Source organism: Homo sapiens, chromosome 13 (genome assembly GCF_000001405.40).
Source record: "Homo sapiens chromosome 13, GRCh38.p14 Primary Assembly".
Lineage (NCBI taxonomy): Eukaryota > Metazoa > Chordata > Mammalia > Primates > Hominidae > Homo > Homo sapiens.
The window spans coordinates 101,709,798-101,723,633 of NC_000013.11; the positions used below are offsets into that span (position 1 = coordinate 101,709,798).

The 13,836-nt window shown below is 36.8% G+C and overlaps 2 protein-coding genes across 25 annotated transcripts in view; one reads left to right on the top strand and one right to left on the bottom strand.

Annotated features, from left to right (window-relative positions):
- ITGBL1 (integrin subunit beta like 1) overlaps positions 1–11,059 on the top strand; it is a 268,182-nt gene extending 257,123 nt beyond the window's left edge. For 3 of the 4 annotated variants that reach the window (NM_004791.3, NM_001271755.2, NM_001271756.2), the window contains 2 exons: positions 4,641–4,754; positions 5,766–6,649. In NM_004791.3, coding sequence (NP_004782.1) covers positions 4,641–4,754; positions 5,766–5,857 — 206 coding nt within the window. In that variant the 3' untranslated portion in view covers positions 5,858–6,649. Of the gene's footprint in view, positions 1–4,640; positions 4,755–5,765; positions 6,650–7,701 lie in introns of those variants that run through there. The other variant, NM_001271754.2, reaches the window with a different exon arrangement.
- FGF14 (fibroblast growth factor 14) overlaps positions 1,007–13,836 on the bottom strand; it is a 691,640-nt gene continuing 678,810 nt past the window's right edge. For 11 of the 21 annotated variants that reach the window (NM_001321949.1, NM_001321944.1, NM_001321943.1 and 8 more), the window contains one exon: positions 11,058–13,170. In NM_001321949.1, the coding sequence (NP_001308878.1) occupies positions 13,034–13,170 (137 nt within the window). In that variant the 3' untranslated portion in view covers positions 11,058–13,033. Of the gene's footprint in view, positions 13,171–13,836 lie in introns of all 21 variants that reach the window. The other 10 variants (NM_001321947.2, NM_001379342.1, NM_001321948.2 and 7 more) reach the window with 1 other exon arrangement.

Consider the following 13,836-nt stretch of genomic DNA (forward strand, 5'->3'; position numbering starts at 1 on the left):
CCTGTCCAACTGCGAGTACAGGAAGAACACACAAAGCCATACCCTCCAGGGTAACAAATAGCAGTCTTCCATTTCCTAAACTGAAGGTCATGTAACAAGAGTTGTTTCTTCTCAGAAAATAAATATGCTTATGAAAGTCATTACAGCCCTAGGAAAGATTCTCATCTTTCAGCATCATAAATGTAGAAAATACAAAGAAAAAAATAGGTTGACTAAATATTGACTCAAAGGCATTTCCTGAAAACAAAACAAAACAAAGCCAAAGAGTCCCTCTAGCTAATGCCTTTGCAAATTGTTTGCTTTGGGAGGTGGCGATATATTCAGAGATCAATGAAGGGTTGAAAGCATATTTGTGTAAACTATTTGTTTATCCTTCAATGGGTAGGGAGTTTGGGAGTCCTTAAACTTAAAAGGGAATATGAAAGCTGCCTCAAGGCTGCACATTTTGACATTCATGTTAGTGGACCGGCCTCCGGACTGTTGGCAGCAGCTGATCGTGATCTCCCTTCTTTTCCCCTTTTATGGAGACATCAATGCTGGATTATCGATGACGAAAGGGGATAAAACCAGGATCATGGAACTGTGATCTATGATAGGCGCAGAGGATAATGGGGATGCCACAGTTACTCCTGGTTCCAGTGGGGAGCACTACCCCACAACCCACCCTGAGAACCACAGGAAAAGTAATGCATGAAATAGACTAAGGGACTTTAACATGGTGATGGAAAAGAAAAACCTGTTTCCGATTTTTTGACTGGGGCCATGTATTTCTAGATCAATTTCATGGACTTGTCCAAATTTTCTATCATTTTTCTCAAATTTGTCAATGAAAGTCCCTCACCCTGATGGTCACAAAAGATGTTCAAGTTCTTTCTTTATTTGATTATGGGACAGATCTTAGCAGTGGGCATGAGATCGCCATGGCACACAGCTTGGTGGCCTGTACCCACCAAAAGGCTGAAACGTGCACTTCCCATGAGCTGTGAATAAAGCTGTCACCTCAGGAGACGATGAAGAAATAGCGTTTTATTTCTTTACAAATTTATAGCCAAGACAATAAATCACTCCATAGAAAAATTTAAAACAAGATACATTCTTGTGACCTTCATAACAGATGGAGTAGTTAGTACAATAGTGAAAACTGCCTGCTGGGATGTCAGGTTGCAGCATTTTGTCAGGCTTGAATGAAAAAGAAAGTCCAACATTAGTAATGGAATGGGCAACTGACAAAGGTGCCTTGCCCTTAGACTCAAATTGTTTTTGTGAATAACCAAGAGAGATGAGGTTAGTGCAGTGCCGGGTCTTCCCTAAGCTTAGCTACCTTTGCAAAGTACATGATATAATTCATTGTGGGTTGTTTTGTTCATTTGGGGATTTATTTGGCTTCAAGACTACACAATTATATCTTTGCCTTGACTACTTCAAGCTAGATCCAGATAATCACGTCCAATCTTCTTACAGATGCTGTTGTGTGACAATGGCTGTAAACACATGTCATTAACTGTCTCCTTAAACTCTCACAGTGATACTTCTTGGGTCCCACATCTTCCAAAGAAGTCCAGCATACACACACACTCACCCACCCACAACCTGTCCCACATCCCCAGAAAAGAGAAAGAGTGAAAGATGCTTCACAAAATCGGCCTCAGCCTGGTGTTCAAGTTGCCTCGCTCAATATGCCTGTGCAGTCAGACCTGCAGGAAGAAACAGCTCATTTTTAAACTACTGTATATGAAAGTTTTTGCCTGGAGATACATCACAGATAGGCAGATCACTAAAAAGAAGAGTGGATTGAATCAGAGTGAAGTCTTCAGTTAACTGTTTGTTTATTGCCTGTGAGGTCCAGGACAGTTTCCTTTATTCTCTCTTCCATTCTCATCTTTGAAGGTAAAATTTCATTTCTTTCCCCTTCCTATGTCCTAAGATGCCCTGAAGACACATGAGAAAATGTGGCTGATTCCCCAGGGATGGAAGCCAGCAAAAATGCACAGAAGGGAGATGGGAACATTCTCAAGGGTCCTTATATTGAGAAAGAAAATGAATGGATTAGTGGTGCTGTGGTGATGAACTATCTGCCCTAAAACTCCTGCCAAGATCAGCCAGCTGTTCTCTGGCTAGGCTGGGTCTCAGGGGTGTGAGTGGGTCTTGGCCAGCTGAGTTGAACCATTTCTCACCTCTTGATAGTCATGCAGCCTACATCTGTCTGATGGAACCCTCTCCCTGTGTGCTTCCCATTTAAGAGAGGCACAATTTGACCCATGTTATGGAAGAAAACAGCTAGAGCGTTCTACAGGAAAAGTGCTATAATAGGTCCTAATAACTATTCACACTGTGTTATTACTATGTGCTATCTAGTTCTAGTTTCACAAGCAGTAGAATAATTTCCTACCTCTAAGATGCACTGAGCATTGACAAACAGGAAAGAATAACACAGCTGGGAAAATGCTGACCTAGAAATGCTACTGTTTCATGACACATACAAAATCAATCCTCATTTTTTATTCTAAGTATTTCAGCGACTAGTAGACTTTCAGAACTGGAATTTACTCATCAAATGTTCTATCCATATATGCCATATTAGCTTTAGCTGAGCTTACCAGTTTTCTGAAAATGCTCTACTATGGCATGAAGCTAAGCATTCCAGAAGCAAGAGCAGTGATTAGAATAGTTCCAGGGCCAGAGGATAAGTTTGAAGATGAAATATAAGATATTTCATGAATTGTGACATATATAAAATGATATCCTGGGTGTATATATGAATATTATGGGCATATAAAATCAGCACTACTTTAGAAACAACTAAAGACAGCCAAATACTTCAAATAACTAATTTTCCTTCACTCATGGAAATAAAACACTAAGTATGGTGCCTTTCGAGGAAACTTCTCTGATAGTCAATGAAATACTCCATGTGGTCTTTGTTGGCAGATATATCACTATCCATTTGTTAAACAAGCAGTAGAGTGCTGTACATTTTTTTATGCCTAGAAATGTGAAAGAAAGTCTTCAAAATTAGGATAAAGAAATCTCTAAAATCAGGAAATTCCTCACCTTGATGAGACCACAAGGGAACCAGCATCCTTTGCAGACTGACCTGGGAGCAGCAGCTCACTGGGTCCTGAGAAACCACAGGGCTGTCAGTCAATTATTAAAACTGAGAAGACGTGTATATTTCCTCAAGAGCATGCAAATCAACCTGGACCCTCAGGAAAACAAGTCAAGACTAAATACAATTATGCCATAGCTACGCAAGAAGTTAAAAAACACAATTGTCACAATCTAAATAATTCTGACTGCACTCTTACTTTGAGAAGTGTGTCAAGAAATGGCAAACATTTAATTTGGACTTTGGGGATTTTTGCAGCTGAAATGCATATACCAGTTTCCCTGATATGAAATATCACATAGTTGAGACACATGAACCTGAATCCTTTCATGATATCTGTGATGACCACAACTCCTTTTTCCTGATCACTTTAATCACCCAGGCTGTTAACTCATTTTTAATCACTGTGTTTTAAAAGAAGCACTAATGATTGATTCTTGCCCCTTTTCAATATATTTTGAACTTACCAATTCTGCAGTTTTGTTAAATATGTCAAAATACTCTTTTCAACTGCACATTTTTTCAACGTGATTTTGACTCAAAAAGAATACAGCCATCTTTTAGTAAATGGAAGTCATGTTTGGAAAGAACAACCAACCCAAGGAAACAGAAGGAAAAGAAAGTCCTTTTTATTTGTTTCTTTTTCATTGTAAAGTCTTTCCTGCTGTCGTTGAGGCAGTTTTTCCATGTAAGGGTTTTTAGTCTGTCATGGAAAGCTGTTTAGACTGAGAGAACTTCTGTCTTGGATACCATTCATCATCTCATTTATTTTCTTTTATTTTAAATATATCATTAATAAAATTTTTACTCAGTAAGTAAAGATATTTTAAATAACCAAAGAGGAAGTTTTTTAGTTAGGTAGGAGAAATGGGTGAAGTGGAGGGAAAAAGAGTTGAATCCAGAGCCTCATAAAATATGAACTTTGGGAGTAATTTGAGCTATCCCAGTTTATGACAGAGGGTCCTGAGGATGAGTCTCACAAGGCAAATATACTGAGTGACTGTATGCATTTTTAGCACTTTAATTAGCCACCCAATATGCAGGTGTGCTCCTACTCCAAGAAAATCATGTAAACGAAAATCCAAAATTATAAGCACAATAATTTAGTAGTTGTTTTAATTAGAAATGCAACCTAATTTAATACAATTCCCTATTCATTTCCTTTAAAGAGCAGGCACTTTAAAAACATGATTCAATTTAGGAGGAAAAAATCTATTTTTGAATACTTTTTTGGAAGACCATCTATAAGAATCAACCCCATCCTGCTCTCATTGACATTTCAACCAGACTGGGCCATGGGACATTTGTTCAAGGCTAATTGCAACTGTCTAGATCCATAATGAAGGCTTTCCTGGGTGACCTTTATGAATTACAGTAAGTAAAGCTCCCCTCTGAGAAACCAGCCATTCAATACACTTTTACCTTTGGATGATGGGTTATTAGAAGCCTGTTGTCAGTGTGTCAACGATATTCTATTCGAGATGGAAACCTTTAGTTATAAGGTGATGGTGAGTAATAGCCTTTGTAATTTCAGGTTCTTGTCATTGTGGGAAGTGCATTTGTTCTGCTGAAGAGTGGTATATTTCTGGGGAGTTCTGTGACTGTGATGACAGAGACTGCGACAAACATGATGGTCTCATTTGTACAGGTGCAGTATTAACCTTTTCTAATTGCTCTATGCCACAGTTTGTTATAGAGCCAAGAGACACTCGTCATGCAATGCTTTAGGTGGCTGGACCAACAGGGCCAACCGTGAATATGAAATATCTACCAAAGGCGAAGTGGGCATTTGGGAAAAAGCCCTCACAAAAGCCTCACATTATTCCTAGGCATAGAAGAATACAAGAGAATGAAGCTAAATTTTGTGATTATTTGGGATCCTTCCACAAAGTAACCTCCCCACCCTCAAACTCACATGTATGCAGTTGTATATTGAACACAGAAAAGAATTTTGTTGGCAACCATTTTACTTTGAACATGGTATAGGGAATGAAATATTCTTTTAAACAGAATCTGGGTACCACTAGTTGATGTGTTGGTTGCTTTTAGGGAACTGGATGTGTGTATGGGGGAGAGGTATAAAGAGGGCTCAGCCGTGTCATAGCCACTGCTATCCTAATTTATTGAGTCCTCATAATTGGTTATAAATTCATTTGTTTAGCCAAGTTACGAGGAAACAGAGACATGTATACTTCTCCTCAGCTCTAGCTGAAGGTAAAAGATGACTCTTTGTGTGTCATTAAGTTAGACCTTTGCTTTCTGCCCATCCTTACTACGTAAGACTCTCTTCACGGATTACTTGGCCTGCCTCATGTTATGTCAAAGAGCCTTATGTTTTTCTGTATTTATTCATAAGTCAGATATAACTTGCTCTTTAAGGGAAAACAAAATTGTCACCTAAAAGCCTAGCTGGAGTGATACAGGATGGTGACTATCTGATCGGTAAAGGGTGGCACCAAATAAATGCCACTAATTGTTTGAAAGATTAGATGTCTCGCAGCTGCTTAATAAGATGTAATAATAACATCATTGCACAATAAGAAAATCTACCAAGGATGAATGAAATGATTTCATTGTGGACACTTGTGATTTATAATAGCATGTTTAAATTTGGCACATTTTGATCATAATCATGATACCTATATGTATTTTATTGCAGGGAATGGAATATGTAGCTGTGGAAACTGTGAATGCTGGGATGGATGGAATGGAAATGCATGTGAAATCTGGCTTGGCTCAGAATATCCTTAACAATTACATGAGAGAGGTCTGGATTCTTATTTTTTCTGGGCCATTAGAACAGATAAATGCGAAGGAAACCATGTATATTCACCACTAGGACAGGTTAAAAAGACCATTGTATGTTTTTCTATTTCTGAATTACGAATGAAATCCGAGTACCTATTAGAAATGAGTTATGCAAATTTAGATGCAAATAACATTAGAAAAAAAAGATTCTTCCATAATTAACATAAGTGGTTCCTAACGAGAGCAATTTTTCCACCCAAAAGTCATTTGGCAACATCTACAGACAATTTTGATTGTCACACTGGGTCGGGTAGGAAGGTATGCTGCAGACATTTGGTGGGTAGAGGCCAGGGATGCTGCTGAGCATCCCGCAGTGTACAGGACAGCCCCCAAACAAGGAATTATCCAGCCCCAAATGCCAATAGGGCTCAAACTGAGAAACATTGAGTTATATGGCTATTAGAAATCCACATTCTTACACAAGAAAGACCATATTAGAATCTAAGGAAAACATGCATATTCACATTAATTAATCGATCAGATTTTTCCAGAATTCCGTATCAGTCACCATTTTAATATGGGGACAATGAAGACAAGCACACAGGAGGTAGAATATCAGAGTGGGGCTGGATCAAGGGCAAAAACTGGTCATTAAGTCATCTGACATTAAATCATTTAGCCACTAAGTTATTTGTCTACTCTCACTTTAAACTCACCAAAGAAGATTCTCTTAAAGAAATTATGAAAAATGTACAATTTAACATTTTAAATAAATAGTGACAGAAGTTGTTTATACTCTGTGTCAGTATATATATCTACTGATAATTAAAAATGAATTGTTATTCAGGGATATCTATTTTAGGTTTCTAGAAATAAGGGATCACATTTTTAAAACTGGGCAGGGGTTATGCGTACAAGAAATCTGATTTTTTATTTTAATTTATTCCATGGTAGTGTGGCCTTTTAAAAAGACAATATTGAGTTACATATAAAATGGGCCTGAAGTATGCATCCATTTCCCTTAAAATACTTTTTTTTCTAAGGATACCTTACTTACTGGAAACCTGGGGTCATGCAAAGAAGTCAAGACGAGAAATACTGTGATAAAATGGCACCAATCTCAGAAGCTCACAAAAGACCAAAAAAAAAAAAAAATCTAGAAATGGCTTAAATAGAAATTACAAATATTCACTCAGTGATAGGAACAAAATGTTTATTTTCTTAATGGTGAAACTTTGCTTTGTATGAAATTCACATTGAATTATGAAAGTGTACAATAATTGGGACTTCCCTTACATATTTACAGGTAAATCTACTTATACACATTAGTTTAGGCAACCTTTAATTATTTAGAGCTAAAAAAAAAACCACTTTTTTTCTAAAGGTGAATTACTTTGTAAAATCCTAGAATAATGTAGCAAAATCATTTCCGTATTACTTTAAGATGAAAATTTTTACTTGGAAATTTTATTTTAATGATGTAAATATTCTAGTCATGGCTTAAACTTTATAAGTCAAATTTCCAAAAATAAGGAAAATATGCATCCACTGAGTTACTTAAAAATTTAATATTGAAAATTATTTTAAGAGAACATTTAACTGATCCTGATTTTTATAGTACTAACAATGTTCTCATAATGTAATAGATTTATAAAAATTGTTATCTCTATCCTGAGATTAAGGAGTGCAACCATGTTGTAGTTCTATTATTGAGTACGTAAATTGATAGATCTCTTCCGTAAAATGAGGGAAATATAAGTAGTCAATAAATAATGTAGGTTATATTCTTTCCTCTTCACTACCTAAACATTTTAAGCTGTGAACAACCTATTATTATTGTTTTGTAGCAATTTTGATGACGTATTCGCTGATGCACAGACATTGGAATTCATTACATTATCTAGCCATCGTAATACAAATGACCTTTGGATTTCTCTATCACGGCGCTTATCCTCCTATTAAGGATCAGAAAGTTAAACTTTACGGACCACGTACGTCCCTGTCTCATATTCTTCTTTGTTGGTTTCTGTTTAATACTTTAAAGCTGTAAAAAAAATTTAAAAAATTCCTTCTGAGCTCCCAGGCCATACAAAAGCAACTTAAGGGTGGATTTGGCTGGCAGCTGGGCAGTACTTTGTCAGCCTCAGCTCCACTGGAACTGCCCTTGATTCTCTATAGCTCATCACAAAACCTCAGGTATGTCTTATTTTTCTTATAATCCTCTGTATGTTATTATCCTTTTTATTAACAACAACAACTACAACAAAAGTGCTGCTCTTTTTCATAGTCTCATGTAAGAAGAGTGTCAAAAATGTCCTCGGCATTTGTTTTCTCAGAAAAAGAATTTAGATATTGGAGAAATTATCATACCATAAAAAGTTCAAAATGTGATTCATCTAAAATTTTGGACAAAGATGAAAATATAGTCAGCTCTGTTCTAGTGTTCATTTAGTTAGAAACCATAGTACCGGAACTGTATTATAGTAGAAGTTAATGGTACCTAAACTCTAAGGAATGCTTTTTCTTTGAAAACAGAAATATTTTTACTTATTTCTGTCCACTATGTTTGTGTGTATGTGTGTGTTTGTGTGTGTATGTGTGGTTTTGATGCCAGCAATGCAAACACCAATATATCTATTAAGAAGTGATTGAATTTAGATTGGAAAAAATAAAATAGTTACATGTAAAGACATAAACTCTTTCCTTCTTAAATGTGATTTTCAACTCTATGATAGAAACTCCCTCTAAAAAACAAGCAGGGCAAGAACAAACTTACTTGTAATGGGTGAGAGAAAATAAGCAAATCTCATTGGCTCATTCCTGTTTTTAGGAAGTTGCAGTGGGATTAATGTCAATTGGAAGGGATGCAGCAAGTTTAGAGAAGGTGTTGGCACTAACGCTGCTTGTTTGGCAAATCATCATCACTGAGGTATTCCACCCAGAGACTTTTTCAAAAAAGTCAACTAAAGTGCTAAGTCATAAGAGGAGAGCCATTATACCCGTTGTCTTTCTGGGCTCCTTGAGTTTATCTGGATTCCAACAGCACTTGGAAAGTACCGCCCTCCACTACCTCAAATGCAAACACAATCTCTGCCAGTAGACATTGGAATTAGACTTAGTGAAAACCAGGAAAAAAAAAAAAAACTAAAATATAACTCAGCCTTAGTTTGCAGACTCAACTGTCAACACTTTGAAACCCTACTCCATATTCAAGAGAGTCAACAGGCCCTATGTCACATTGTAGGCTAAGAAACCTCAGCTATGACTACTATTTCACTCAAAGTAAGACCATGTACATCCTGGATTTTGATATGCCTGCATTTTGGAAAAAAAAATTGAGGATTTAGCCCAGTCGCTTTCCCTTGATATAGCCTTGTTCTGAATTAAAATGGAAAAAATATTTCAATTATTTTCATCTTGTTCTCAACTGGATGTTAGTCAATGTGGTCTCTTTTTGAATATGTATCAAATATTAATGATCCATAATATTAGGGAGATAATTTTAAATGAAGTGATACGTGTCTAACTTACTTAAAGAATAAGTTTTTGGTTTTTGCTTTTAAAGACAACCAAATCTGATATTGTTCATCCTGATAAAAATAACAACTTTTAGTGCTTAAAGCATTAATTAAGCAAGTGGCTAGGTATGATAAAGAACTTCTGCTTGCTCCCCAAGAGGCAAACTATTAGAAGAACTGGAGCGGGAGTCCTTTGGACCCATCGTGGATCTCTTTAAGCCACTGCTACCCAAAAACATTCAGGACAAGCAAACATTTAGAGCAAGAATCTCCAAATTCTTCAGGATTTGTAATGAAATGATGTTCAGTTCCATTTTGCTCTTTACATAGGGTGGAGAATTGTCATGTCTTCTCTAATTTTTCCAAGTAAAGTGGTAGCAAAATGTTTTAAAAAGCAATCTTATATTAGAAAACAAAAATGTTGTCACTTGAAATACCAAAACAACATTTCTGAGCGTTGTTGAGGGACTGGCAAAGCAATCAGCTACTATAACAAATCAGTAGAAATAACCCTCCCACACCAGATATGCATGCAGAAGGAATGGAGTATTATAGAGACTTGATACAATGGACATATGCACATGGAGGTACAAAACACACAGTCTAAATACAAATGAATTCCATCAGATTTACTATACGGAACATCAGTAGTGACAGATTGCACTTCTTACTTAATAACAGCAAACTTAATTTCTGAGGGGAAAAAAATGGCGAAGTCTTATCCCAAACAAATAGCAAGAGAGGTATCATCAAAGAGCTAAAATTTTCTTTGGCATGGTAAAGGGGGAAATTGAGTTTACCAACTTATTTACATGACATTTCTCTATATTGGTGAGTAATGCAATGCCATTTTGTTACATAAAGTTGTTTGATGTTTTTTAATATGCCTTCATATAAATATTTTATTCAATATGTTGTATTTGTGAATTTAACAAATGATATTAAACACAAACTACAATGCAGACAGACAAACTCTTTGTATGCAAATTAGCAATACATACCAACAGTTCTTGATACACAGGTACCTACTACATGCAGCTCATCATTGCTGTCCTCTTCCCATGCTACAGGTGAGACCAGACACAAAGTAAATGACCTAACTCAATTACAAATAACAAGGACCCCTCTGCAATATGTCTAAACATATATTAGAAGAAAGTATTTGACATCCTTCATAGGGATAAATGCCCTTATAGACACCCCATATATAAAACACAACAGAGATACACATTTACATAAATCTCAGTCATTTACAAAAATAAATCTTGTCTTAATTTAAACCAATAAACAGACTTGCAGGGGAAAAAGAAACCAGCAAGTAGGGCTAATTATCAGTAACAAATAGATGGGGGTGTTTGCTCTGTGTGTGTGTGTGTGTGTGTGTGTGTGTGTGTGTATATGTGTGTGTTTGTGTGAAGTGAAGTGTTGCTGCTGTAAGTAGTGTCCATAAGCCCATTTGACTGTATTACAAGTTAGTTAATTACTCATATAGTTGGCCACATATTATGGGATCTATGTTTTCTGAAAATAATTGGTTAATGGAAGTTATCTAATATATTTTAACTGTTCCTGTTAAAAACAATAGGCTTCAAGATGACATAACACCAAATCAAAAATGACCAAAGGAATCATTTTGTTTGTTAGATTTGTAATTTAGCATCATTGGCAATAAATCTACTCAAACGTTCTGCTAACTTTTTATTTATTCAAGTAGAATCCAATATGAAAATGAAATAAGCATAAACAAACAGTTAAATTTCTACTAAACCTTTAATCAGCTAAGCAGGCCAGAATTTTTTAATGCTGGGCAAGGGCTGTCATGAAGAAGATTTATGAAAGCAGTGACAAAATAATTTCCCAATAAATACAGTGCAGATGGGGAAAATGATGACTGGGTCATCCTCCCACATAGAAAGAATAACAAGAGGCCAGTACATTGATCCCACATATAATTTTCAATAAATGAGGTTCAGTTTGGTCTCAATGAACTCTTCTGAGAAGAAAACATTGAATTTTATTAGGTGTACACAGAGTTAACAAATAAATTCCCAAACAGTTTAGTATGAAACATTTTGAACCCCTTTAGATCCAATATTGAACATTTTGCATGGAATCTTCATTGTGTAGTCAACTGTTCCTGGCCTTTCTTGGTAGTTGTCTTCCCTAAGCTCAAACAAACAGTGTTAAACTAAAAAGGAAATTAAGAATGCAAAATAAAAGAAAATAAATGGAATGGACCAAAATCCTCATGGATGAATGTGTTGGTTTGCCTTTATTTTCATCTAGGATAATTCAACAGACTGTATTCTGAGATCATGGCAAGGCACCTCTAACCCAGCCACTGGGCAACATGAGCCCCAGATGCTGAGCTAGAGGCATGTACTGGTGAAATACACAGTACCGGACTCAGCATGCTGAGCTAAAAAAAATATTTTTCCTAATATGTCCAGTTTAAAAACTTGTCATTAAACACCAAAAATATTAAAGTCTAATTAATTTATAACTAACGTTTGCATTGCTGCTGCAGGAAAGAACACAACAGCCGTCTTGCCCATGCTCTGCTGAGTATGAGGGGAACGCAGCCAGAAACGGGGATGGCGTTAAGTTTGGTTCATTAAAAACAGGACGGAGTATATCTGAAATGGATTTAGGTAGCGCAATTCTTGTAGGTTATAATTACTGATTTTCCTTTTTTTTTTTTTCCAAATAATGAGAATTAATAGATGAAAAATGAACCTTAATCAGGCCTACAAGGCCTACAGAAATCTTTGGACCCACTTTCTCAAAAACCAGTGGGTCTTGCTCGCTGGGCAAGGCAAATGTTACCATTACCAGTAAGCTTGTGATATGTATAAAACACACACACACAAAGAAACTAGAGGGGGATGTCAAACACATATCATAGAGAGCTTCCCTGGATTGTGTTTGAGCCATTTCCCACCCAGGCAATGCCGACCTTGGGAGCACAGTATCTGCTACTGGACAGAGCGTATATGTGTGTTTAATCGATAGTGTGAGCCAGAGACAACAATCTTTCTTAATCTTTCTTTATAGATGCAATTTGTAATAATAGGTTTAGAAGGCTTCCTGATTCCCTGATTGCTCTCCGACCTAAGCCAACTGCAACATTTAAGATTTAGAGGAACAAAATCCCTGCAAAAGGTCACAGACAGTGGAGCGAGCAGCCCTGTAAAAATGGGAAGAAGAGAAATCCGTAATAGCACAGGTTTACAGCGTCTAACTAGAAATTACTCAATATTATTTGTGTGCTACAAAATTGAACTTAAACACATAGATTTCGCTGAAACAGGACTCAAAAAGGATTATGGGTAGCTGTCAGCAGGCAAGGTATCGAGTGTACTTGTGAAGTATGTCATTCACATGAAGTGTCACAGTCACAGAAAAGATATTAAAAAGGCATTCCATATCTGGTAGGGCATTCCATGGTCTGAGTTTAGCTGGTTATCCAGGTGTCTTCTTGTTGTGGGGGGTGCAACAGGTTGAGATTTATCCACTTGCAACAGAGAAGTTCGGAGACAGCAAAGAATAAGCATTAGCTTACTTCCTGCTGCTCTTCAGCCACGGAGCAGGAATGTCTGGTGAGGATAAATCACTCAACTGTGCTCAGGACGAATAAGTCACAACACCTGTGAGGATCTGGCTATGTTGTCTTACTCTTGTTGACTGGTTTGCCTCCATTCATTATTGCAGACGCACTTGTGCTTTTACTTGGCGTCACCCCAGGCTTCGGGACCGTTTCCCCAACATCATGCAAAGATGGTTCTCGGTACATGGCAACTAGTGATGGGAAGAAAGGAGGAGGAAAAGCAAACATTGCTTGGTTAGGTGTGAGAATGGTCCATCCATACCTGCATAGACCACTGCAGTTTGCCCATTTCTGTTTTCCCTGAAGTAAAGCAATTCCATTGAGACAGAATTCCTGTTGTAAAGCAATCATTTCCAGCCCACAGAGGACATTACTCCCTTCACATTCTCTGGTCTGTATACCTAAAATATGTATATGAGTGTGCATGGATTTTTGTCTAGGACAGCAGGTTTAAATGGGAGCTATGGCCTCTTTGTGGGTCCATGATGTAAAACACACACACACACACACACTATAGGAGAATGACAGGCATTTAACTTAATTCTCAAAAAAAGAAAACTCAGACATCCCTTCCACTGCACATTAATATCAACACATGAACTTCTCATTCACTTCAATCAATCTTTGTGAGCTGCGGTATTTACATCCTAGAACATTAAATTACTTTCTTTCATGTGGTTCAAAAGCAACATAGTCATACTAGTGTCAACTTCAAAGCTACACAAAATAATAACAAATAACTCTCTTCCCATAAGCCAGAGCCTTCAGGAGATTATCATTTCAATGTTCATTTCCTACAATCATGGAAAAAGACCCTTGGGCAGCAGAAGGCAACTCATTTTCTGCTATGTTATTAA